Genomic DNA, 23,344 nt, shown 5'->3' with positions numbered 1-23,344 from the left:
AGATGAAGACGGGTCACCAGTTGACAGACAGAGTGTTAGGGGCAGGTATGGCTGCAAGGGGGCAGCACAGGGCCACCCCTGCATAGCAGTGGGACAGGACAGTTCTGTGCTCTGATCATAGTAGTGGTTACACAAACTTACACATGGGATCAAACTGCACAGAACCATACACACAGTACAGGTAAAATTGTGAAACAAGGTGTATAGTCTAACAGTGTTACACTATGTCAATTTCCTGGTTGACTGTACTTATAAAGATGTCCTACTCCAGGGGAAGATAAGAGAAGGATTCAAAGGATTCTATGTGCTATTTTTGCAATATCTTATAGAGGAAGAAATTTTATAATAAATATCTAATTATAGAAATTTTGAATATACAAAAAGGTAGACAAAACTCCTATAATCCCAAGACTGACCCAAAGATAATCACTTTTAACATCTTTGTATATTTATTTCTAGTCACTTTTTATTGAGGTTTTTGTTTTTTTTGAGACACAGTCTTGCTCTGTTGCCCAGGCTGGAGTGCAGTGGCGTGATCTAGGCTCACTGCAACCTCCACCTCCCAGGTTCAAGCAATTCTCGTAACTCAGCCTCCCAAGTAGTTGGGATTACAGGTGTGTGCCACCACACTCAGCAAATTTTTGTATTTTTAGTAGAGACAGGGTTTCACCATGTTGGCCAGGCTGGTCTTGAACTCCTGACCTCAAATGATCCACCAGCCTCAGCCTCCCGAAGTGCTGGGATTACAGGCACAAGCCACCACACCCAGCTATTTCTAGTCATTTTTTAAGCATAGTTTTTTAGAAAGTTTGAGGGGAGAGGTGGTTAAACATAGTGAGGTGTTTACAGTTTAATATCCTTTTTTCTCTTCACTTTATAACAATACTTAAGTTTTTTCCAAAGTGATGAGAACCTCTGTGACTTTTTTTTTTTTTTTTTTTTTTGAGACGGGGCTCTCATTCTGTCACCTAGGCTGGAGTACAGTGTGTGCGATCTCAGCTCACTTCAACCTCTACCTCCCAGGCTCAAGTGATCCTCCCACTTCACTCTCCTGAGTAGCTGGGACCACAGGTATGAGCCACCACACCCAGCTAATTTTTTGTGTTTTTGGTAGAGACAGAGTTTTGCCATGTTGTCCAGGCCGGTCTCGAACTCCTAAGCTCAGGCATCTACCCGCCTCAGTCTCCCAAAGTGCTGGGATTACAGGTGTAAGTCACCGCACCTGGCCTCTGTGACCCTATTTTAACAGCTGCTTAGTCATTCTCTTAACCCCTCTCTAGGCAAGTCATTTCAGGAGAGGTGATATAACAAAAAGGTTAAGAATGTAGACCAAAGCCAGATTTCTGGGTTCAAACCTCATTCCCACCACTTCCTACTATAACCTTGAGCAAGTTACTATTTCTGTGCCTCTCAGCTAACTGCTTCACTAAGAAATGGGAAATCTTAATTAACACACCATGTACGTTACCTCACAGGGTTGTTAGGAAGATTAAATGAGTTAATAAATACTTAGAAGAATGTCTGGCATATGGTAAATATTCAATCAATGTTGCCTTTATTATTTTGGGGGGTGTATTTAGTATTTTAGTATTCTTGAAATGGTCTTTTATCTACCCTTCCCAAAAGGTTTTCTAAAAAACAAACAAAAAAAAAAGCCACTTCTCAGTCTGCACTGAGAATGCTGTCCTGTAAAATCAGTTCTTGCCACAGGTGATCTTAACCTGTCCCAGGTATGTCATGAATATACCTCCACTGTAGTTGAAGCATCCCAAGACCCCAAAAGTGACCCCACACACCCTCATCTCTGCCCAGTGATACATGTGGCTGATGCAGCAAATCCAGAACTCTCTGCAGAACCACTTTAGGAAAACTAACCCTAGGAAGATCAAAGTTAAACAGAAATCAAATCATCAAAAATTACTGAAGTGATCCACTTGGTGTCCATAGTTCTTCACCAATAATTTTTTAACTTAACTTTAAGAAAAAAACATAGTGTCAGGATGATGGGGTTTATCCATTATGTACAAAGACCTCATACATTAGAAGAGAGGAGAAGCATGGATTTAAATGGACACTCTGACAATATGAGAAGCCATTGCTAAAAACTTAAAACTCGTTCCAAGAAAGGAAATATCTAAGTAAAAAGTGCAAAAAATGAATTTTTTAGAAAAGCATCTGAATGGCCGGGCACGGTGGCTCACGCCTGTAATCCCAGCACTTTGGGAGGCTGAAGCGGGTGGATCACAAAGTCAGGAGATCAAGACCATCCTGGCTAACACGGCGAAACCCCGTCTCTACTAAAAAATACAAAAAATTAGCCAGGCGTGGTGGCAGGCGCCTGTAGTCCCAGCAACTCGGGAGGCTGAGGCAGGAGAATGGCAAGAACCCGGGAAGCGGAGCTTGCAGTGAACCGAGATCGCGCCACTGCCTTCCAGCCTGGGCGACAGAGCAAGACTCCGTCTCAGAGAAAAAAAAAAAAAAAGCACCTGAATGTGCCACTGTGTCACCAATGACTCATTATTGTGCTTTAACACAAATGTCTTACCTTTTCTCTGATTACAGCTGGTTTTAGAAGCCCAACTCAATCGCAGACTCTGATAATTTGTATCTTCATCACAGACCAAAGTTCTAGTCAAACAAAAATCTATAACTGCCATTTAAAAAAAAGGACTGTAAACACCATGCTAATAAGAGATCATTGCATAATAAATCACAATGCATAGTGATAAAGCCATTTGAAACATGCAGCCTTAAGAATTAGTGAACAGGCAGAAACGTTTGGCCACGCACCGACCACTCCCGCCCAGGATGGGGAGTTGCTGGTCCCATCCTTTCTTGCTGAGTACAGGGAGTCTCTAGGTGTAAAGAATGCATAACCCGTAAGACCCAACGTGTCATAAAAAGGCCTACCTGGACTGCACCCGAAAGAGTAACGTTCTCCAAAAGAGCATCATTACAACAGCAGTACAGAAGAGCAGCTGATGCAAGGGACTGCCAGAATTCAAATCCCGCGTCTGTGTGTGCCTGTGGGTGGATCTGGGTGTCTGGGTATGTGTGTGTCTGGATGGGTGTGTGTATCTGTGCATCTGTACGCGTGGGTGGGTGGGTGGGTAGAAGTGTGCATGTGGGTGTGCCTGGCTGGATAAGCTGCCGAGTGTCTCTGCGCTTTAGTATCCTCATCTGTGGCCTGCCTCCTCCCCTCCACCACACCTTTCCCCCTCACACAGGCAAAGCACTGGGGATCTCCCATCAGCAACACTCACTCCCTTGGGCCACCCCTTCACTTACTGCCCCATTTCCTCTGCTCCCCTACAGCAAAGCACCTGTGGAGTGTTGTGTGCCGCCACCGGTTCTTTGTTCATTTCTTCCCATCCTTTCTTGAGCCCACTCCAAGCAGACGCTTGCTTCCACCAAAGCTGCTCTTGTCAAGGTCACTGACAACAGCCCCGTTGGGAGGTCCTCCTTGACCCGCCATGGGCATCTGATGCACTCCTCCACTCCATCCCCTCAAGACCCTTTTCCCACTGGGTGTCTAGGCCTCTGTGTTCACTGGCTTTCTTCCCACTGCCCTGGAGGCCCCTCTGCTCTTACTGCCCACCTTTACACACCGGGGCCACCCTCCCTCTGTGCACTCCCAGAAGAGCTTGGCCAGGTTCCTGCCTTCCAACGCCAGTCACGGGCTGACGCCCCCGCCAGCTGCTCCCTGGCCCTGGTCTCCAGGCTCACACAGCCAGATGCTTCCATGACACCTCCACCTGAACATCTAGCACGTCTCAGCCCGAATCCCAGCTCCTCACCTGCCCCACCCTGCTCCTTCCACAGCCTTCACCATCTCGCAGGAGCCTCCATCCTCCCAGTCTCTCAGGCCACATGTCTAGAGGCCGACCAAATGTGTCTCTCACAATTTCTCCATCAGAGACCTCAGCACATCCTCCCCAGCTCTGCCTTCAGAATCTCCCTGGGATCTACCCCCACCTCCTGTCCCCTACCGCTGCTGTCCTTTTCTAAGCACCACCCATTGTCGCCTAGATTCTTGTGACACCCTCCTAAGTCTCTTCCTTTTCTCTCCTTTGCCTCATTCTAGTCTATTCCCAGAGAAATCCTGTTAAGTGAACTTCAGGTTATGTCATTTCTGTTTTCAAAACCTACCAACGATTTTCCATCTTGCCCAGCACAGCAAGGTTGTACCAGGTCCTATGGGCCCTGCATGGCCCCTGCTACCCCCAGGCCTCTCTTCTGGCTCGTTTCCCCTTCGTTCACACTGGTCCAGCTGCCCTGGCCTCCTTGCTTGATGGTGCTGTTTCACAACCATCAAGCACACTCTTGCCTTCTCCTACCCCAAACACTCTTTTGCCAGGTATGGACCCGACTCCCTCCCTAACCTCCTTCAGGATGTGACTTGTCACATTCCCTGATCACTCCACCTGCAATCTCAATGGTGCTTCCCTGACACTCCCTACCCAATAACCCCTTTTTCTTCATACACTCACCATCATGTAACTTACTCCATATCTGTACTTATCTACCCACCCCGAATGTGTCATGAGAACAAAGGCTTTTTGTCTATTTTGCTTACTGCTATTTCGCTGGTACAAAGACAAAACACCTGCTCATTATCATCTGCCCTGGTTTACCCATTCCAGCCACACTGGCCGTGTGCTGCTCCTCAAACCCGTTCCCTACACCCCAGCCACCTTTTTGCATAGCTCGCTCCTCATTTAATCCAGGTCTCTATTAAAATGTCACTTCCTCAAAGAGGTAATTCCTATCTGAAAGATCCTATCTGAAAGATCATTTTTCCCAATAACTGTACCCCTTCCCCTGATTTATTTTCCTACACAACATTGACCTGTACCTGAAATTATAAAACCTTTTTACCTGCTAAGCATCTCTCTCTCCCACCAGAACGTAGCAGCCATGAGGACTGGACTTTGTCTTACTCACCACTGTACTGCCAGCACTGAGAACAGTGCCCGACACATGTGTTAGGTTTTCAAATATAAATTAATGAATTTAGAAAACTCATTGATGAAGCAATCTCACAAAGTAATTACAGACACATATGTGGAAGATGAGATGACAAAGTGGGCTGCTCCAGAGTTGACATGGTGTCCTGCCAAGCAACCTTCAGAGCTGAGATGGCCTGAGCTCCTCCCCACATCTGCCTCCCTCCAGTCACAGAACTCCACCTGGCAGCCCCGAAGCTGTTTCCCACAAGGCCCAGTGGAACACCCCAAACACTTCCGACGAGCCAGCTTGCCCTAAAGGATGAAACAGGTACACTCAGAGGAGGTGGTGGTGAACTGAGAGTATGGGAGAAACTACGTAAACCTACTTTTCTCAATTCTGTGTTCCAAAACGGGAGGAGATGGGAAGGAAGAGAAGAACAATTCCTGAGTGAGGTGAATAAGCCAATAAATATGGCACTACAGCTAATGCCAGGAGGTAAACGGAGAAGTATCTTACCATATTTGACATCTGGAACTGTGACAGAACTCTCTGCAATATTGGTGGACAGAATAATCTGTTAAACATCAAAGAAAAAAGCTGACATTCCTACTATATTCCGAACATCATTAGGCAAAGTTTACAAAAATGCAAAAATTATTTTAAAGCTTCTGAATGTAAATACTGAACTCAGGTTTCAAAATTAGCCATTTTTCTATTTTATACACATCACAATTGATCAAGAAGCCCCTGATGAATGGAAACCAGCCACATACAACACAGCAAAGGCTTTAACACAGGCAGACAAGACACGGGCAAAGGGAGCTATTCCTGACTTCTGGTGTGGTAACTTTGGTGGGGTGGAGAGGGGTCCTGGAATTGCCCAGGGGCACAACCAGGTTTCTAGAAGAAGGGTTGTTGCCTGTACTTGCCCTAGAATACCACCCAAGGCTGCTCCTAGAGATTCCAAAGCAATCAAGGGGGGCGACGTTGTCAACTCAGGCCCCCTGATCACCTCAAGCAGCTCTAGAAGGGTCTTGTTAAAACAACTCCATCATTCACACATAATCTGAGATAAAGAAATCCTCCTGAAGCAGGACCTAGAATATGGCTTCTAACCAGAGTCACCAGAGTGGTTTCAAGGACACGAGAACAGTCCCAAAGTTAAAGAAATGCTAAAGAAGAATTAAAAGGCACCAGAATTCCTGAATTGAGAAAACAAAAAATCTTAGCTTTTTAGCAAACTGATTTACAAAATAAAACACAAAACTAAACAACATACCTGGCTCATTAGGTAAATATTTGTTTAAGTGAGTAACCACTAACTACAGAACACACTGCTGAAATGTGATTTTTTTTTCTTTTTTTTTTTTGTTTTGAGACAGTCTTGTTCTGTCACCCAGGCTGGAGTGCACCAGTGTGATCTCGGGTCACTGCAGCCTCCACCTCCCAGGCACAAGTCTCCCACCTCAGCCTCCCAAGTAGCTGGGACTACAGGTGCATGCCACTGCACTCAGGTAATTTTTATATTTTTTGTAGAGATGGGGTTTCGCCATGAGGCTGGTCTCAAATTCCTGAGCTCAAATGATTCACCCACCTCAGCCTCTCACAGTGCTGGAAACACACGCATGAGCCACGACACCCAGAAAATATTTTTCATGAGTAGAGTCTCTAAGGAAAATTTACCTAAAGTGCTTAGAACTTGTCTTCCCAGTTTTCCTACCTTTCTGTACCCAGGGACTGGACTTAAAAAGACATTATTCTGTTCTTCTAAAGCCACACTTGAATGGAGTGGATAGACCTGCAACCTAAGAAATTACTAAAATAAAATCTCCATAAAGAATAGATATACATGAGATACAAAAATAAATACTGAGATAATTTAAGGCAGAAACAATGCAATGGCTTAGAAGAATACAGCTGTATCATTTTCAACATACCTTTTATGAACCAGGCTTGTGAGAAGTTCATGCATATAATTTATTTCACCCAGACCTAGGGAAGAAAAAAGTGGAGGAGGGAAATAAACATGTTTGTATTTACTGCTAGAAACCAACCTTTAAATTAAAATGGCATATCTTTCAAAGAAGGCCCTACCAATTTATTTGACTTCTTTATCCTCTTTGCCTAAATATGCCAGAAACACAAGTAAAAGTACACAGTGACATTGATTAGTAGTAACTCAAAAATATAGGGAAAAACCCTATTATTCCAGTTTTCCTTTACACAGCAGTGACTCCCTGTGGGTGTTAGCTATATGAGTAATTTTTGTATTCCTTTTTTACCCCCAGATTTTCTAAATTTTCTATAATGAGCATGCAAAATCTTTACAATCAAAAAATAACATTTGTAAAGTTTTGGTCATGAGGATGTGCTAAACCATTTCCATCAGGCCTCCGTCCTGTTTGCTGAAAGCTAAGCTAGCAGGTGCTTTTGCCTCATCCTGATTCTCAAATCTGAGTCTGTTATGGGTTGAACTGTGTCCCCTAAAAAGACGTATTGAAGTCCTAACCCCAGAATGCGGAAGGTGGTGTTATTTGGAAATAGAGTCATTGCAGATGTAATTAGTTAAGATGAAGTTATACTGGAATGGGGTGAGCCCTTAATCCAAAATGACTGGTATCCATACAAGAAGGGAAGAGGCACAAACAGAGAATGCCATGTGACAACAGAGACAGGAGTGATGTAGCCACAGGTCAAGGAGCACTAGGGACTGACGGCCACTACCAGGAGCTGGAAAGAGGAAGAGGCTCAGAAAGAGCATGGCCCTGCTGACAACTCGATTTTGAACATCTAGCCTCCAAAACAGGGAGAGAATAAATGACTGTTCTTTTAAGGCATTTAGCTTGTGGCACTTTGTTACAGCAGTCCTGGAAAACTACTATAGAACTGTTCACAAAAGATCAATTGACACATAAACATCTATCAAACTTGAATTCACATGAACATATTAAAAGGACAGTAACCCTAAATGTAAAATATCACTTATAAATATTTTCTTCAGGCAATGTTTAGCAGGTAAAAAGTATTTACCAGCCAGGAGCAGTGGCTCACACCTGCAATCCCAACACTTTGGGAGGCTGAGGCAGGTGGATCACTTCATGGAGATCACTTGAGCCTAGCAGTTCGAGACTAGCCTGTGCAAGCTAGTTAAACCGTCTCCACAAAAAGATACCAAAAAAAAAAAAATTTGGCCAGGCATGGGGGTGCATGCCTGCAGTCCCAGCTACTTGGGAGGCTGAGGTGGAAATATCACTTCAGCCCAGAAGGTAGAGGCTGCAGTGATCGGGGTCACACCACTGTACTCCAGCCTGGGGAACACAGCAAGACCCTTTCTTAAAAAATAAATAAAATAGAGTATTTATCTCATGTTAGGTATTCTTTTTTTTTTTTTTTTTTTTTGAGATGGAGTCTCGCTCTTTCTCCCAGGCTGGAGTGCAGTGGCGTGATCTCGGCTCACTGCAAGCTCCGCCTCCCAGGTTCATGCCATTCTCCTGCCTCAGCCTTCCGAATAGCTGGGACCACAGGTGCCCGCCACCATGCCCGGCTAATTTTTTTTGTATTTTCAGTAAAGATGAGGTTTCACCATGTTAGCCAGGATGGTCTCGATCTCCTGACCTCGTGATCCACCCACCTCAGCCTCCCAAAGTGCTGGGATTCCAGGCATGAGCCCCCACGCCCGTCCGTGTTAGGTGTTCTTAAGCCTCGGCCTCCCAAAGTGCTGGGATTCCAGGCGTGAGCACTGTGCCCGGCCCATGTTAGGTGTTCTTAAGCCAGTATCAACATGGCTCTACTTGGGTGATGTTTTCCCCTTAATACAATATGATGCACACAGAAGTCATCTGATAAATATTCACCAAGGCACATGCAACACCACCCCACTGTCAGCTCATGGTTGTTCCCTGCATGTAAACAAATCCTTATCAGCTAAGCAAAACATGACAAAAGTTTGAAACTCATATGTTGCATTCCAAAATTAAGTAAGCTACTTTCATTGCATGTTTTTCATTCTCCATTATTTTAAGAACAAATCTGTTTATGCTCTATATATTACAACAGAAAATATTTGAATTATTGTCATAATGTTTCATCAAGCTATACCACTTGAATTAAACATCAAGTAATTTTGAAAAAGTACAATTTAACATAAATTCATCTTTTCAGAAAGGTATTTTAAAAGTCTGTTTTCTCAAACACTGAGAAGGGAACTCAAGGATTACCCTGATGATTCTCACGGTGTTATAATAACAGTGTGTTTTACTATTACTAAATAAGCTTTCAATGCAAACTGATGACAGTTACCTCACATTTATAACGACATATGTAAAATGCAAATTTCACAAAGCCAAATATTTTACTGGAAATTTCGAAGGTGGCAAAACTGCCTTCAAAAAGCTGAACTCTAGACAAGCATGGTGGCGCGTGTCTGTAATCCCAGCTACTTCGGAGGCTTAGGCAGGAGAATCACTTGAACCCAGGAGGCAGAGGTTGCAGTGAGCTAAGATTTTGCCACTGTACCCCTGCCTGGGCAACAGAGTGAGACTCTGTCTCCAAAAAAAAAAAAAAATTGAACTCTTAATTATTAATAAGAAATCTTTTTTAGAAATACAAGGGTTGGCCGGGCACAGTGGCTCACATCTGTAATTCCAGCACTTTGGGAGGCCACAGCGGGCAGATCACAAGGTCAAGAGATCGAGACCATCCTGGCCAACATGGTGAAAGCTCATCTCTACTAAAAATACAAAAATAAGCCGGGCGTGGTGGCGTGCACCTGTAGTCCCAGCTACTCGGGAAGCTGAGGCAGGAGAATCACTGGAACCGGGGAGGCAGAGGTTGCAGTGAGCCAAGATCGTGCCACTGCACTCCAGCCTAGCAACAGAGCAAGACTCCATCTAGAAAAAGGAAAAGGAAAAGGAAAAAAAAAAGAAATGCAAGGGTTACAATAAAAAGCCAAACTGAAAGTTACATTTGTTCACATACTCAAAGTGTAAAAAGAATAAAGTCCTATGGAGAATACCATCTTTCATAATCTGTGTTAGGCACAAACTTAGCCTCTCTCCAGAGTATTATGATTCCAAGTCACAAAATTATGATGTTCTTACCTGGCAAAAACACCAACACACTGCTTCGCTCCAACACAAACTGGGCCCCCGACCAAGCCTTGTTCCTGTTAAAAATGTGATGTGCACAAATATTAATGAAGGCTAATAACAGCTATTGCTTCTCTAAAATCCTAATATTACAGGCTTTTAATCCTGAAAGGCTCTTACAGGTCATCCAATGTAATGTTCCTTATTTTACATAAGAAAACACGAAGCCCAAAAAGATGAGAAAACATCCAAGGCCCCATGGTCATTCAGGGGACTTAAGCCTTTTGACTCCCAATACTTTCTCCTATCAAAACTTACTATCTGCAGAAGTTTTCCTTGAAATTTAGTTATTGTAATCAAGAACTTCAAAGTAAAAAACATTTAAAATAACTACAAGCAAAATTTAAATGTTCATGAGTCCAAACTATTAGAAAGGATTTGTACAGACCAAAATCTCAAATCATCTACTTGCCTCCTTGCTATTGTCAATATATTTACTTTTGTGTGAATTTAGAACTTTCATTCTTCCATGAACCTGTGAGCCCTTCCTACATGCCAGGCCCTCCTCTGTGTAAGATACAGCAGTAACAAGAAGACAAGCTCCTTGCTCTTTGGAGCTTACATTCTAACTGGAGAGACAGACAGGAAACAAGAAAACAGACAAGGCACCTTCAATTTAGCAATAAGACCTAAAGAGACACACAGGGAAACACAGTAAGCAGTGCTAAGGGAGGTGCATGTATGGAGTGCTCTCAGGAGGGCTGGCTGGGAAGGGCCTCTCTGGGGAAGTAATGGGAGGTGAGGAGGGAGCCATGGAAAAGCCATGCAGTGGCAATCCAGGCAATGCCTGGGAACAGTCACTACAAAGGAGAAAGGGGTGTGAGGGGTAAACCAGTCACTGCAGCACAGGCAGCTCAGCATCCATGGTCACTGCTCCTGCTGCTCCTCCATCTCTCCCTATGAGGGTGAGCCACACCTATGACCTCAGGCGGCAGCCACTACCATGAAAAACACAGCCTTGGTTTGTAGATGGGCCTGCATGGGATGCTGGCAACAACCAGGGGCGAACATCTGCTGCATCACAGCCCCACCCAGAGGAGAGGCTCACACACAGTGAGTGGGGAAGGGAGCTCTTCCCAGTTAGCAGAGGTGAGGCCGTCCATCTGGTGGTACCGCTTTGGGTGGAAGGAGACATGGCCATGAGGTTGGGTTCACCCCAATCAATAGGCAGAGGCTAATAGCTTGGTCAGCTGGTCAGGGATGTGGAAATGGCAAGACTGATAATAAGGAGATCTGATGGAGAGGTACCAAGAAATGCCCATAAGGCAGCCACAGTGGAGAAGGCTTTCAGTCACCAGACGGGCAAGAGGCCCTGCCTGTGGACGTGACCCAGCCTCCTTCTCCAGTCCCTCCAGGGTTGGAAAACGCACAGAGTGGACAGGTAGCAGGGATGAAGGCTTACACACAAACTCAACACCATGCACTTTCCTGAGATGAGACTCATCCGGCTGCTACCACTGCTGGATGCCAACCACACAACAGCAAGGGCCAGTGCCAAGTCCCAAATATGGCACCATTCCCTGGGGGACCAGCCCAGCCAGCTGATGACAGGTTGATTCCATCATGAAAAAGATACTGATTTGCCCTCATGGAAATAGATACAGATCCTATTCTGGATTCAGGTCTGCCTTCTCTGCACCTAAAGCTCCTGTCATACCCCCATCCATGGACCTAAAGATGCCTTTCTCGCTTCCATTATTTCCTGCACAGCATGGCCTCCTGCCAAGGAGCTCAGTTTAGTAGTCAATGGACTCATGAAATTCAATGGTATTACCATGCATCCAAAAGCAGGTGGCTTAAAAGAAAGATGAAAATGCCTATTAAAGGCTCAATTATTGTCCCAGTCCTACAGGAAGTCATAAAAGCCATAATGAAATTCAAAGACAAGGTGAAATCTTGCAAGCAGCAAGAGGATAATGACATGCCACATGCAAAGAAAACCCCAGTAAGATTAACAGCTGAATTCTCAGAAGAAACAATGGAAGCCAGAAAGCAGTGGGATGACATATTCAAAGTGCTCAAAGAGAAAACAACTGTCGATCAAGATTCCTGTATTCAGTAAAACTCTCAATAATGAAGACTAAATAAAGACTGTCCCAGATAAAAAAATGAGAGTATCTAGCAGACCCACCTTACTAGAAATACTAAAGGAAGTTTTTTTGTGCTGAAAACAGCCGACCCCAGAGAGTATTTCAAATCCACATGAACAAAGAAAGAGAACTGGTAAAGGTAATTAGTTAATAACAAAAGATACTGTAAATACATATTTTGCCTCCTTCCTTCTTAGGTGATTTTAAAAGTAACCGGATACAAAAATCAGCAGGGTGTGGTGGCACGCACCTCTAAGTCCCAGCTACTCACAAGGCTGAGGTGGGAGGATCAATTGAGCCAATGAGGTCGAGGCTGCTGTGAGCCATGATCACTCCACTGTACCCAGCCTGCTCAACACAGTGAGACCTTGTCTCAAAAAAAAAAAAAAAAAGTAAAATGCTACACTGCAAAATATGTGTTAAATGCAAAAGAAAGCAGTAAAAGAGAAACAGAGGAACAAAAAGAATATGAGACATCCAGAAAGCAAAAAGCAAAATGGCCAACATAAATTCAACTATATCAGTGACAAAATTAAATGTAAATGGATTAAACAACATAAATGGATTAAACAGCCCAATCAAAAGGCAGAGATTGTTAGACTAATTTTAAAAATACAGGCCAGGCGCGGTGTCACACCTATAATCCCAGCACTTTGGGAGGCCGAGGCGGGCGCATCACGAGGTCAAGAGATCAAGACCATCCTGGCCAACATGGTGAAACCCTGTCTCTACTAAAAATACAAAAATTAGCTGGACATGGCGACACATGCCTGTAGTCCCAGCTATTCGGGAGGCTGAGACAGGAGAATCGCTTGAACCCAGGAGGCAGAGGTTGCAGTGAGCTGAGATCACACCACTGCACTCCAGCCTGGTGACAGAGCAAGACTCAATCTTTAAAAAAAAAAAATATCCCACTCAGAATATGTTGTCTACAGGAGATACACTTTAAATGCAAAGACACTAAGTAGACTGAAAGTAAAAGAATGAAAAAATATGTGTCATGCAAACAGCAACTACAGAAAAGTGAAATGGCTATACTAATACACAAAATAGGTCTTAAAATTAAGTGTTACGAGAGATAAGAGGTGCATTTTATAATGATAAATGGGTGAATCAATCAGGAAGATGTAACAGGTATAAACATATATGCATCTAGCAACAGAGAACCAAAATACATAAAGCAAAAACTGACAGAAAAGATTGAAGAAATAGGCAATTCAATAACAACTGCTGAGGACATCAATATCTCATTTTCGATAATATATAGAGCAACCAGGCAGAAGATCAAGAAGTAGAAGACCTGAACAATATGGTAAGTCAACCATACCTAAAAGACATCTATAGAACACTCCATCTAAAAACAATGAGTGACATTATTCTCAAGTGCACGTGTAATATTCTCCAGAACAGTCTACATGCTAGGCATGCAACAAACCTCCATAAATTTAAAAGAACAGAAAAAATATAAAATATGTTCTCCAACCACAATAGAATGAAATTCAAAATGTGTAACAGGAAAAATTGGGGGAAATTCACAAATATGTGCAAATTAAACAACACACTCCTAAAAACCAATAAGCCAAAGAAAAAATCAAAATGGAAATCAGAAAATACTCTGAGATGAATGAAAATGAAGACACAACATAGCAGAACTAATGGGACACAGCTAAAGCAGAACATAGCAGGAAATTTGGAAGATGAATGAACAAGGTACATCCAGACAATGGAATTTAGCGCTAAAAAGAAATGAGCTATCTAAGCCATGAAAAGACATAAGGGGAACTAAATACATATTACTAAGTAGAAGAAGACAACATGAAAAGGATACATACTGTATAATTCCCAACTACATGACATCCTGGAAAAGGCAAAACTATGGAGACAGATGTAGTAAAATTAGTGCTGTAAAGGCTCAATCATATGGTGTGTGTGTGTGTGTGTGTGTGTGTGTGTGTGTGTGTGTATATATTTTTTGAGATGGAGTCTTGCTCTGTCACCAGGCTGGAGTGCAGTGGCACGATCTCAGCTTACTGCAACCTCTGCCTCCCAGGTTCAAGCGATTCCTCTGCCTCAGCCTCCAGAGTAGCTGGGACTACAGGTGCGCACCACCATGCCCAGCTAATTTTTTGTATTTTAGTAGAGACAGGGTTTCACCATGTTGGCCAGGATGGTTTTGATCTCCTGACCTTGTGATCCCCCGACCTCGGCCTCCCAAAGTGCTGGGATTACAGGCATGAGCCACCGCGCCCAGCCATATTTTTAAAATTATAAACTCTAGTCACCACTTATAACCTAAAACTGTTCCTCAGGGAAAATGTTCCAATTTTCAAAGAACCAGCTAAATGAATGAACATCTGGATTACAGAAGGAGATTGCTTAGGGTCAAGAATATGTCTTTATAGTAAATGAAAACAAATGCAAAGAAAGTTTCAACAGTTTCTACTAATGTAGGATTTAAAGTTTTACCCCAGCATTAAGAGTGATAAGACCCCTATATGTCTGGAAAAACTATTTTCAGGCTATAAATCCTAGCTTTTAAAACTATCAGTCCTAACACTGCACTCAGCATGGCTTTAATTATTTAAAATAGATATTTCCAGTTAAAAAAATTCCAAAATACTAACCTGATTTTAAAATATATACAGTAACTACTAAAAAAGTACCTATAGTTATACCTTCTTATAAAAACACTAAAACGTTTCCAAATGAATAATTTTTTAAATCACATATACATTAAAGTGCATTACCAACTGAAGTATCTCTTACCCACTCTCCTTCATATCCAAGTCATCAAACATCTGAATGAGAGAGACAGCAACTTCATATATATCCTTAGTTATCACCGGTTCCTCCAGGAGATGAGGAGAGAGCTAAAAACAGTGAAAGAAAAAAGTCGCAATACGAAAACAGGATTACAGAAGAAACCTGGCGTTGGATGGGACTGGCTCTCACCATTAGTACAACACTGTAACAAACTCTCTAAATAAAAGTTCTTGGTTTTTATTGACAGCAATGTCTGAACACGTGCTGTGTGCCAAGTACTGCTCAGGACAGTGGACACATAAAGTGCCATACTCATCAATCTCCTCGCCTAGTCACCAGAGCAAGAATGGCTCAGAGAGCCCAGACATGCACAGGCAGTGTGTTTGGCAGGATGTCTACTTTGAAGACATCGATTAAGTCACACCAAATGTCTATGGAACCCAGGAGGAGTTCCTGATCTCAAAGCCAATGCCCTTCCCCTCTGTCAAACCCCCACCTCAAAGAGCCCTAAGACTTCCCTAAGATTTCACGTGTGAAAAGTAACCTTGTATATCAAAAGTACCAGAAAACTGTAACGTCACATCCGTATCTACCAATGTGTGGTGATAACATAACCTCATGATGAGGTATCCGTCTACCAAGGTTTACGGGTTCCTCTACTACTTTTAATTGTCTATTAAAGCAAAGACACCAAGACCAGATAATGTAAACTTGCCCCTCAGGCACCGCTACCAAACACTAGGCACCAACCACAAGCGGCAAACTCCCCAAGTCAGGCTGTGCATTAGTCCATCTTCATGCTGCTGATAAAGACATACCCAAGACTGGGCAATTTACAAAAGAAAGAGGTTTACTGGACTTACAGTTCCACATGGCTGGGGAAGCCTCACAATCATGGTGGAAGACAGAGAGAGCTTGTGCATGGAAACTCTCCCTTACAGAACCATCGGATTTCATGAGACTTACTCACTATCATAAGAACAGCACAGGAAGGACCTACCCCCATGATTCAATTACCTCCCACTGGGTCCCTCCCATAACAGGTGAGATTTCAAAATGAGATTTCGGTGGGGACACAGCTAAACCATATCATTCTGCCTCTGGCCCCTCCCAAATCTCATGTCCTCACATTTAAAAACACAATCATGCCTTCCCAACAGTCCCCACAAAGTCTTAACTCATTTCAGCATTAACTCAAAAGTCCATAGTCCCAAGTCTCAAAGCAAATTAGTTACTTCCTAGATACAATGGGGGTACAGGTATTGGGTAAATATAGCCTTTCCAAATGGGAGAAATTGGCCAAAATAAAGGGGCTACAGGTCCCAAGCAAGTCTGAAATCCAGCAGGGCAGTCAAATCTTAAAGCTCCAAAATGATCTTTGACTCTATGTCTCACATCCAAGTCACACTGATGCAAGAGCTGGGTTCCCATGGTCTTGGGAAGCTCCACCCCTGTGGCTTTGCAGAGTACAGCCTCCCTCCCAGCTGCTTTCATGGGCTGGCATTGAATGTCTGTAGCTTTTCCAGGTGCGTGGTACAAGCTGTCGGTGGATCTATCATTCTGGGGTCTGGAAGACAATGGCCCTCTTCTCACAGCTCCATTAGGTGGTGCCCCAGTTGGAGTCTGTGTGGAGGCCTGAACCCCACATTTCCTTCTGCTCTGCCCTAGCAGAGGTTCTCCATGAGAGCTCCGCCCCTGCAGCAAACTTCTACCCTGACATCCAGGCATTTCTACACATTCTCTGAAAAGTAGGCAGAGGTTCCCAAACCCCAATTCTTGACTTCTGTGCACCCACAGGCTTAACAACATGTGGGGGCTGCCAAGGCTTGAGGCTTGCACCCTCTGAAGACACGGCATGAGCTCTTTGTTGGCCTCTTTCAGCCATAACTGGAGCGGCTGGGACACAGGGCACCAAGTCCCTAGGCTGCACACAGCACGGGGGCCCTAAGCCTGGCCCACGAAACCACTTTTTCCTCCTAGGCCTCCAGGCCTGTGATGTGAGGGGCTGCCGTGAAGACCTCTGACATGCCCTGGAGACATTTTCCCCATTGTCTTGGAGATTAACATTTAGCTCCTCACTACTTATGCAAATTTATGCAGCTGACTTGAACTTCTCCTCAGAAAATGGGATTTTCTTTTCTATTGCATTGTCAGGCTGCAAATTTTCCAAACTTTTATGCTCTGTTTCCCTTTTAAAACTGAATGCCTTTAACAGCATCCAAGACACCTCTTGAATGCCTTGCTGCTTAGAAATTTCTTCCACCAGATACTCTAAATCATCTCGTTCAAGTTCAAACTTCCACAAATCTCTAGGGCAGGGCAAAATGCCACCAGTCTCTTTGCTAAAACATAACAAGAGTCACCTTTACTCCAGTCCCCAACAAGTTCCTCATCTCCATCTGAAACCACCTCAGCCTGGATTTCATTCTCCATATCACTATCAGCATTTTGTTCAAAGCCATTCAACAAGTCTCTAGGAAGTTCCAAACTTTCCCACATTTTCCTGTCTCCTTCTAGGCCCTCCAAACTGTTCCATCCTCTGCCTTGTTACTCAGTTCCAAAGTGGCTTCCACATTTTTGGGTATCTTTTCAGCAGTGCCCCACTCTACTGGTACTAATTTACTATGGGTGTGACTGCCCAGCTTTCCCCAAGCTGAGGCCACAACTACACAAGCATCTTTCTACAGTATCCAGCACAACAGATGTCTCTAAATTTCTGAAAAATCTATTTTATAGCGATACTGGGTTTTTTTCACCCAGAGTAAGAAGCTTTTTTAATTAATAATTTTACTTGTTAAACACTATGTGCAGAATATTGCATCTGATTTTGTTGAGGACAAATCAAAAGAAGTCTTCAGGTGATCAGAGAAGCCAATCACAGGGGCAAATTTTTTTTCCAATTTTTACTTAGAGTAAATTAAGTCAGCTAGTTTCCAAATAATTTATAAAAGTTGACTTTTAGGCTGGGCACGGTGGCTCATGCCTGTAATCCTAGCACTTTGGGAGGTCGAGCCGGGTGGATCATTTGAGGTCAGGAGTTCAAGACCAGCCTGGCCAACATGGTGAAACCCCATCTCTACTAAAAATACAAAAATTAACCGGGCATGGGGCACACACCTGTAATCCCAGCTACTCGGGAGACTGAGGCAGGAAAATCACTCAATCCTGGGAGGCAGAGGTTACAATGAGCTGAGATCGCGCCACTGCACTCCAGCCTGGATGACAGAACAAGGCTCTGTCTCAAAAAAAAAAAAAAAAAAAAAAAAAGTGACCCACAGCGAGTCCAGGTGGGGCGGGGGGCATGCTCTACTACTGGACCTGGGTTGTTGATCATTTCACAATTTCATTACAGTACACATTTACATTTTATGTAACCCTTTTTCTAAGTGTGTTCTTTATAATTTTGTTTTGTTTTGTTTTTTGAAACGGAGTTTCGCTCTTGTTGTCCAGGCTGGAGTGCAAGGGCGTGATCTTGGCTCACCGCAACCTCTACCGCCTGGATTCAAGCAATTCTCCTGCCTCAGCCTCCTGAGTAGCTGGGATTACAGGCGTGTGCCACCACACCTGGCTAATTTTGTATTTTTAGTAGAGTTGGGGTTTCTCCGTGTTAGGCTGGTCTCGAACACCCAACCTCAGGTGATCCGCCTGCCTCGGCCTCCCAAAGTGCTGGGATTACAGGCATGAGCCACCACGCCTGGCCTCTTTCACAATTTTTTAAGAAGCTGAATATAAAGGATGAAAAGGACTCTCCAAAGGACACTGAAAGGGAACAGCCAGATCTGGTAACAGAAAAACCAGGATGCCACCACAGAACCCAAAGAGAGGGTGAGTTTCAAGAATCGAAGTGGCCAACAGTGTCAAATATTGCAGAAAGGCCAGGTAAGTCTAGGACTTACCTAGAGCTCTCCTAACGACAAGGAGGTCACTAGGGACCCTGGCAGGTGCAGTCTGAGTGGCAACAGGGGACACCACCCTGCAATAAATGAATTGCCTGCGGGAGGTAGAAAAGTAGAGAATGAGAGAGTCCACAGGCCAGCAACGGCTGGAGAGCAGCCTGAGACCTAAGGTGGGTGTTCGCAAAGGTGAAAGAGCTTCAGTTATGTTTCAGTGTGGACAAGAAAATGACAGCAGAGAAGGAGACACTAATGGTGACAATGGGGAGGGGGAAACAGTAGATCAGATGAGGTCCCTAAGAAGGTAAGAAGGATGAGACATGAAACCCAGGAGGCGCGGCTGGTGCTCCATGAAGAAAGGGGGCTTCTCCCTTGTAACAGCAGACAGTGTGGTGAGGTAACATGACAAGTCTCCCTTGTAACAGCAGACAGTGTGGTGAGGTAACATGACAAGAGTACTGACAGTAACACAACTGAAATTTTAACCAAGGTCCTCTGATTCTGAAGCTGTATAATAGGATCTATACAAAACAACACCATTTTTATAAGCTCAAAATTAACACAGACTGTCCCTGATTTACAATGATTTAACTTATATTTTTAGACTTTACAGTGATATGAAACCACTCTGCTTTTTACTTTTAGTGCAGTATTCAATAAGTTACATAAGATATTCAACACTTTATTATAAAATAGGCCTTGTATTTGGTGATTTTGCCCAACTATAGGCTAAATAAGTGTTCTGAACTCATTCAAGGTAGGCTAGGAGGACAGGTGTATTAAATGCATTTTCAACTTAATGATTTCAACTCACAATGGTTTTATCAGGGCATAACCCCATTACAAGTCAAGGAACATCTGTATACAGCTAAGTGTTGCATATTCATTCACTGAAATATTTACTGAGCACCTATCAGGTACCAAAAACAAGACGTTGGATAAATCTTGCTAAAGCTGGACATTCTCTATTCTATTGAACATAACCCACCCATGAGGCAAGGGGGCCCTGGGTGCCTAGAAGCTGGGTTGTCTTGACCACACGGGCTCAGACAGCAAGTGGCAAGGCCTGATCCAGCTCCTCAGCGGGTCCACAAGGAAGCATCTAAGTGTTGTGAGCTCTGACAGAAAATACACAATGAACATCAATAGGAATTAATTAGACTTCAGCCAGCTGGAAAGAAGACTGGTAAACCATCATCACTCTCACATTTCAAACTAGTCAGAGGCCAGGCATGATGGCTCATGCCTGTAATCCCAGCACTTTAGGAGACCAAAGCAAGAGGATCACTTGAGGACAGGTGTGGGCGGCAAGCCACCCAGGTGCCGAGGCAAGAGACCGAGGGCACGAGCTGTTCCAGTATAATAAAATATATAAAATAAGAATAGTTATACTAGATATAGATCTTAGATATGATTATGTATGAATATCATTAATCATTAGTTTGTAGTAATTACTCTTTATTCCAATATTATAATAATTCTCGCTCTACAATCATAACCTAGGAAAAACCAGGCCATACAGAGACAGGAGCTGAGGGGACATAGTGAGAAGTGACCAGAAGACAAGAGTGCGAGCCTTCTGTTATGCCCGGACAGGGCCACCAGAGGGCTCCTTGGTCTAGCAGTAATGCCAGCATCTGGGAAGACGCCCGTTGCCAAGCGGACCATGGTCTAGCCGTGGTCTAGTGGTAGCGTCAGTGTCAAGGAAAAACACCCGCTACTCAGCAGACCGGGAAAGGGAGTCTCCCTTTCCCTGGGGTAGTTTAGAGAAGACTCTGCTCCTCCACCTCTTGTGGAGGGCTTGACATCAGTTAGGCCCGCCCGCAGTTATCCGGAGGCCTAACCGTCTCCCTGTGATGCTGTGCTTCAGTGGTCACACTCCTAGTCTGCTTTCATGTTCCATCCTGTACACCTGGCTCTGCCTTTTAGATAGCAGTGGCAAGTTAGTGAAAGTACTAAAAGTCTCTGATAAGCAGAAATAATAGCATAAGCTGTCTCTCCCTCTCTCTCTCCTCTCTCTCTCTGCCTTGGCTGCCAGGCAGGGAAGGGCCCCCTGTCCAGTCGACACGTGACCCACATGACCTTACCTATCATTGGAGATGGCTCACACTCCTTACCCTGCCCCTTTGTCTTGTATCCAATAAATATCAGCGCAGCCTGGCATTCGGGGCCACTACTGGTCTCTGCGTCTTGGTGGTAGTGGTCCCCCAGGCCCAGCTGTCTTTTCTTTTATCTCTTTGTCTTGTGTCTTTATTTCTACAATCTCTCATCTCTGCACACGGGGAGAAAAACCCACCGACCCTGTGGGGCTGGTCCCTACAGACAGGAGTTCAAGATCAGCCTGGACAACATAGCAAGACCCTATCTCCACAAAAAAATTTTTTTTAATTAGCCAAGCATGGTGGTATGCATCTGTAGTCATAGCTTCTTGGAAGGCTGAGATGGGAGAATCTCTTGAGCCAAGGAGTTCAAGGTTACAGTGAGCTATGATCGCACCAATGCACTCCGGCCTAGGTAACAGAGCAAGACCCAATCTCAAAGAAAAAAAAAAAAAAGAGTCAGAAAATGCAAATTGTTTAAATGTTGTAAATGTAAGTGCTACCTCCTCCCTACCTTGAATAGAGCCTCACCTGGCAACTTGTTTCTCAAGAGTACAATGTGGAAAGGAGGCAGTAATGCATAATGGAGAAACCTGGCAAACACAACCTTTCCAGTGATCAAAGTCTGTGTCATCAGTGCTATAGTTTGTCCCCTCCAAATCTCATGTTGACATTTGATTCCAGTGTTGGAGGTGGGGCCTAATAGCAGGTGTGTGGGACATGGGGGCGGATGCCTCATGAATAGATTAATGCCCTCCCTTGGGGAGACTGAGTTCTCACTGTTATTGGTTCCTACCAGAGTTCCCCCTGAGAGGTGACTGTTACAAAAAGCCTGGCACACCCACCTTCTTCCAGTCTCACCATGTGATCTCTGCACACACCAGCTCCCTGAGCAGAGGCCAGTGCCATGGTTCTTGTATAGCCTGCAGAACTGTGAGCCAAATAAACCTCTTTCTTTTATAAATTACCCAGACTGAGGTATTCCTTCATAACAGTGTTAAATGCTATTCACAATAGCCAAGATATGGAATCAACCTAGGTGTACAACAGATGGAGAAAGAAAATGGAGAATATATACACAATGGAGTATTATTCAGCCATAAAAACTGTGAAATCCTGTCATTTGCAACAACATGGATGAAACTGGAGGACATTATGTTAAGTGAAATAAGCCAGGAACAGAAAGTTAAATACCACATGTTCTCATGTGGAAGCTAAAAAACAGTTTAATAGAAGTAAAGAGTAGAGCAGAAGATACTAGAGGCTGGGAAGGGTAGGGGAAAGGAGGAGGCAATAGGGAGATTTGTTAAAGGATACAAAAGGACAGCCAGATAGGAGGAGGAAGCTCCAGTGTTCTACAGATAACAACAATATGTAATTTCAAATAGCTATAGGAGGCTACTGAATGTTCCCAACACACACACAAAAAAATGTTTGATACAATAGATATGCTAGTTACACTGAGCTCATCACCATGCATTGTATGTATCACATCACTATGTACCCCATGAATTATTATGTGTGAATTTAAATTTTTTAATTAAAAAAAACATTAAACAGACTTAAGACAACCAGTAAAGGTCATGTTGATAGTGTATACCCTTGATATGTGACAAAAATGGCACCTCAGCCTGTGGTCTTCCTCCCCAAAACCAATAACCTCAGTTTAACCATGAGAAAAACATCAGTCAAAGACCAGTACTCTTCAAATCGTCAAAGTCTTAAAAAATGAGGAAAGTCTGAGAAACTACCACAGCCAAGAGGAGCCTAAGGAAACATCGCGACCAAACCTAATGTAGCATCCCGGACGGGATCCCAGAATAAAGGACATTATGGAAAATACAGTCAAACCAAATAAAGTGAAGTTTAGTTAGTAGGTTTTTTTAAGTGTTACTAAGTAAATGTTAACTACAAATAGATGTCCTGAAGCATTTTCCCTATGCTTTCTTTCTCAAACTCCTGGGCTCAAGTGATCGGCCCACCTTGGCCTCCCAAAGTGCTGAGATTACAGGTGTGAGCCACTGTGCCTTGCCATGAATTGGAAGAATTTATACTATTAAAATGACTATACTACCCAAAGTGATGTACAGATTCATACAATTTCAATCAAAATACCAATGACATTCTTCACAGAAATCAAAAAAAAAATCCTAAAATTCATATGGAACCAAAAAAGATCTCACAAGCCAAAGCAATCCTGGGCAAAGTGAACAAAGCAAGAGGCATCACATTACCTAACTTCAAAATATACTACAAAGCAATGGTAACCAAAACAGCATGATATTGGCATAAAAACAGACACACAGATGATCAATGGAACAGAATAAAGAACCCAGAAATAAAATAACATATTTACAGCCAACTGATTTTTAAGAAAGGCATCAAGAACATTCACTGGAGAA

General features: G+C 43.6%; 1 protein-coding gene across 12 annotated transcripts in view; it reads right to left on the bottom strand.

Moving 5' to 3' along the window:
- TDRD9 (tudor domain containing 9) overlaps positions 1-23,344 on the bottom strand; it is a 124,212-nt gene that overhangs the window by 51,394 nt on the left and 49,474 nt on the right. For 7 of the 12 annotated variants that reach the window (XM_006720019.4, NM_153046.3, XM_005267309.5 and 4 more), the window contains 6 exons: positions 14,954-15,057; positions 10,050-10,114; positions 6,888-6,942; positions 6,671-6,755; positions 5,467-5,524; positions 2,546-2,650 (listed from right to left, as the gene is read on the bottom strand). In XM_006720019.4, the coding sequence (XP_006720082.1) occupies positions 2,546-2,650; positions 5,467-5,524; positions 6,671-6,755; positions 6,888-6,942; positions 10,050-10,114; positions 14,954-15,057 (472 nt within the window). The remainder of the gene's footprint in view (positions 1-2,545; positions 2,651-5,466; positions 5,525-6,670; positions 6,756-6,887; positions 6,943-10,049; positions 10,115-14,953; positions 15,058-23,344) is intronic. The other 5 variants (XM_011536397.3, XM_047430910.1, XM_047430912.1 and 2 more) reach the window with 3 other exon arrangements.

This window comes from Homo sapiens, chromosome 14 (genome assembly GCF_000001405.40).
Source record: "Homo sapiens chromosome 14, GRCh38.p14 Primary Assembly".
NCBI classification, from domain to species: domain Eukaryota; kingdom Metazoa; phylum Chordata; class Mammalia; order Primates; family Hominidae; genus Homo; species Homo sapiens.
This window is presented reverse-complemented; position numbering and strand designations above follow the sequence as displayed.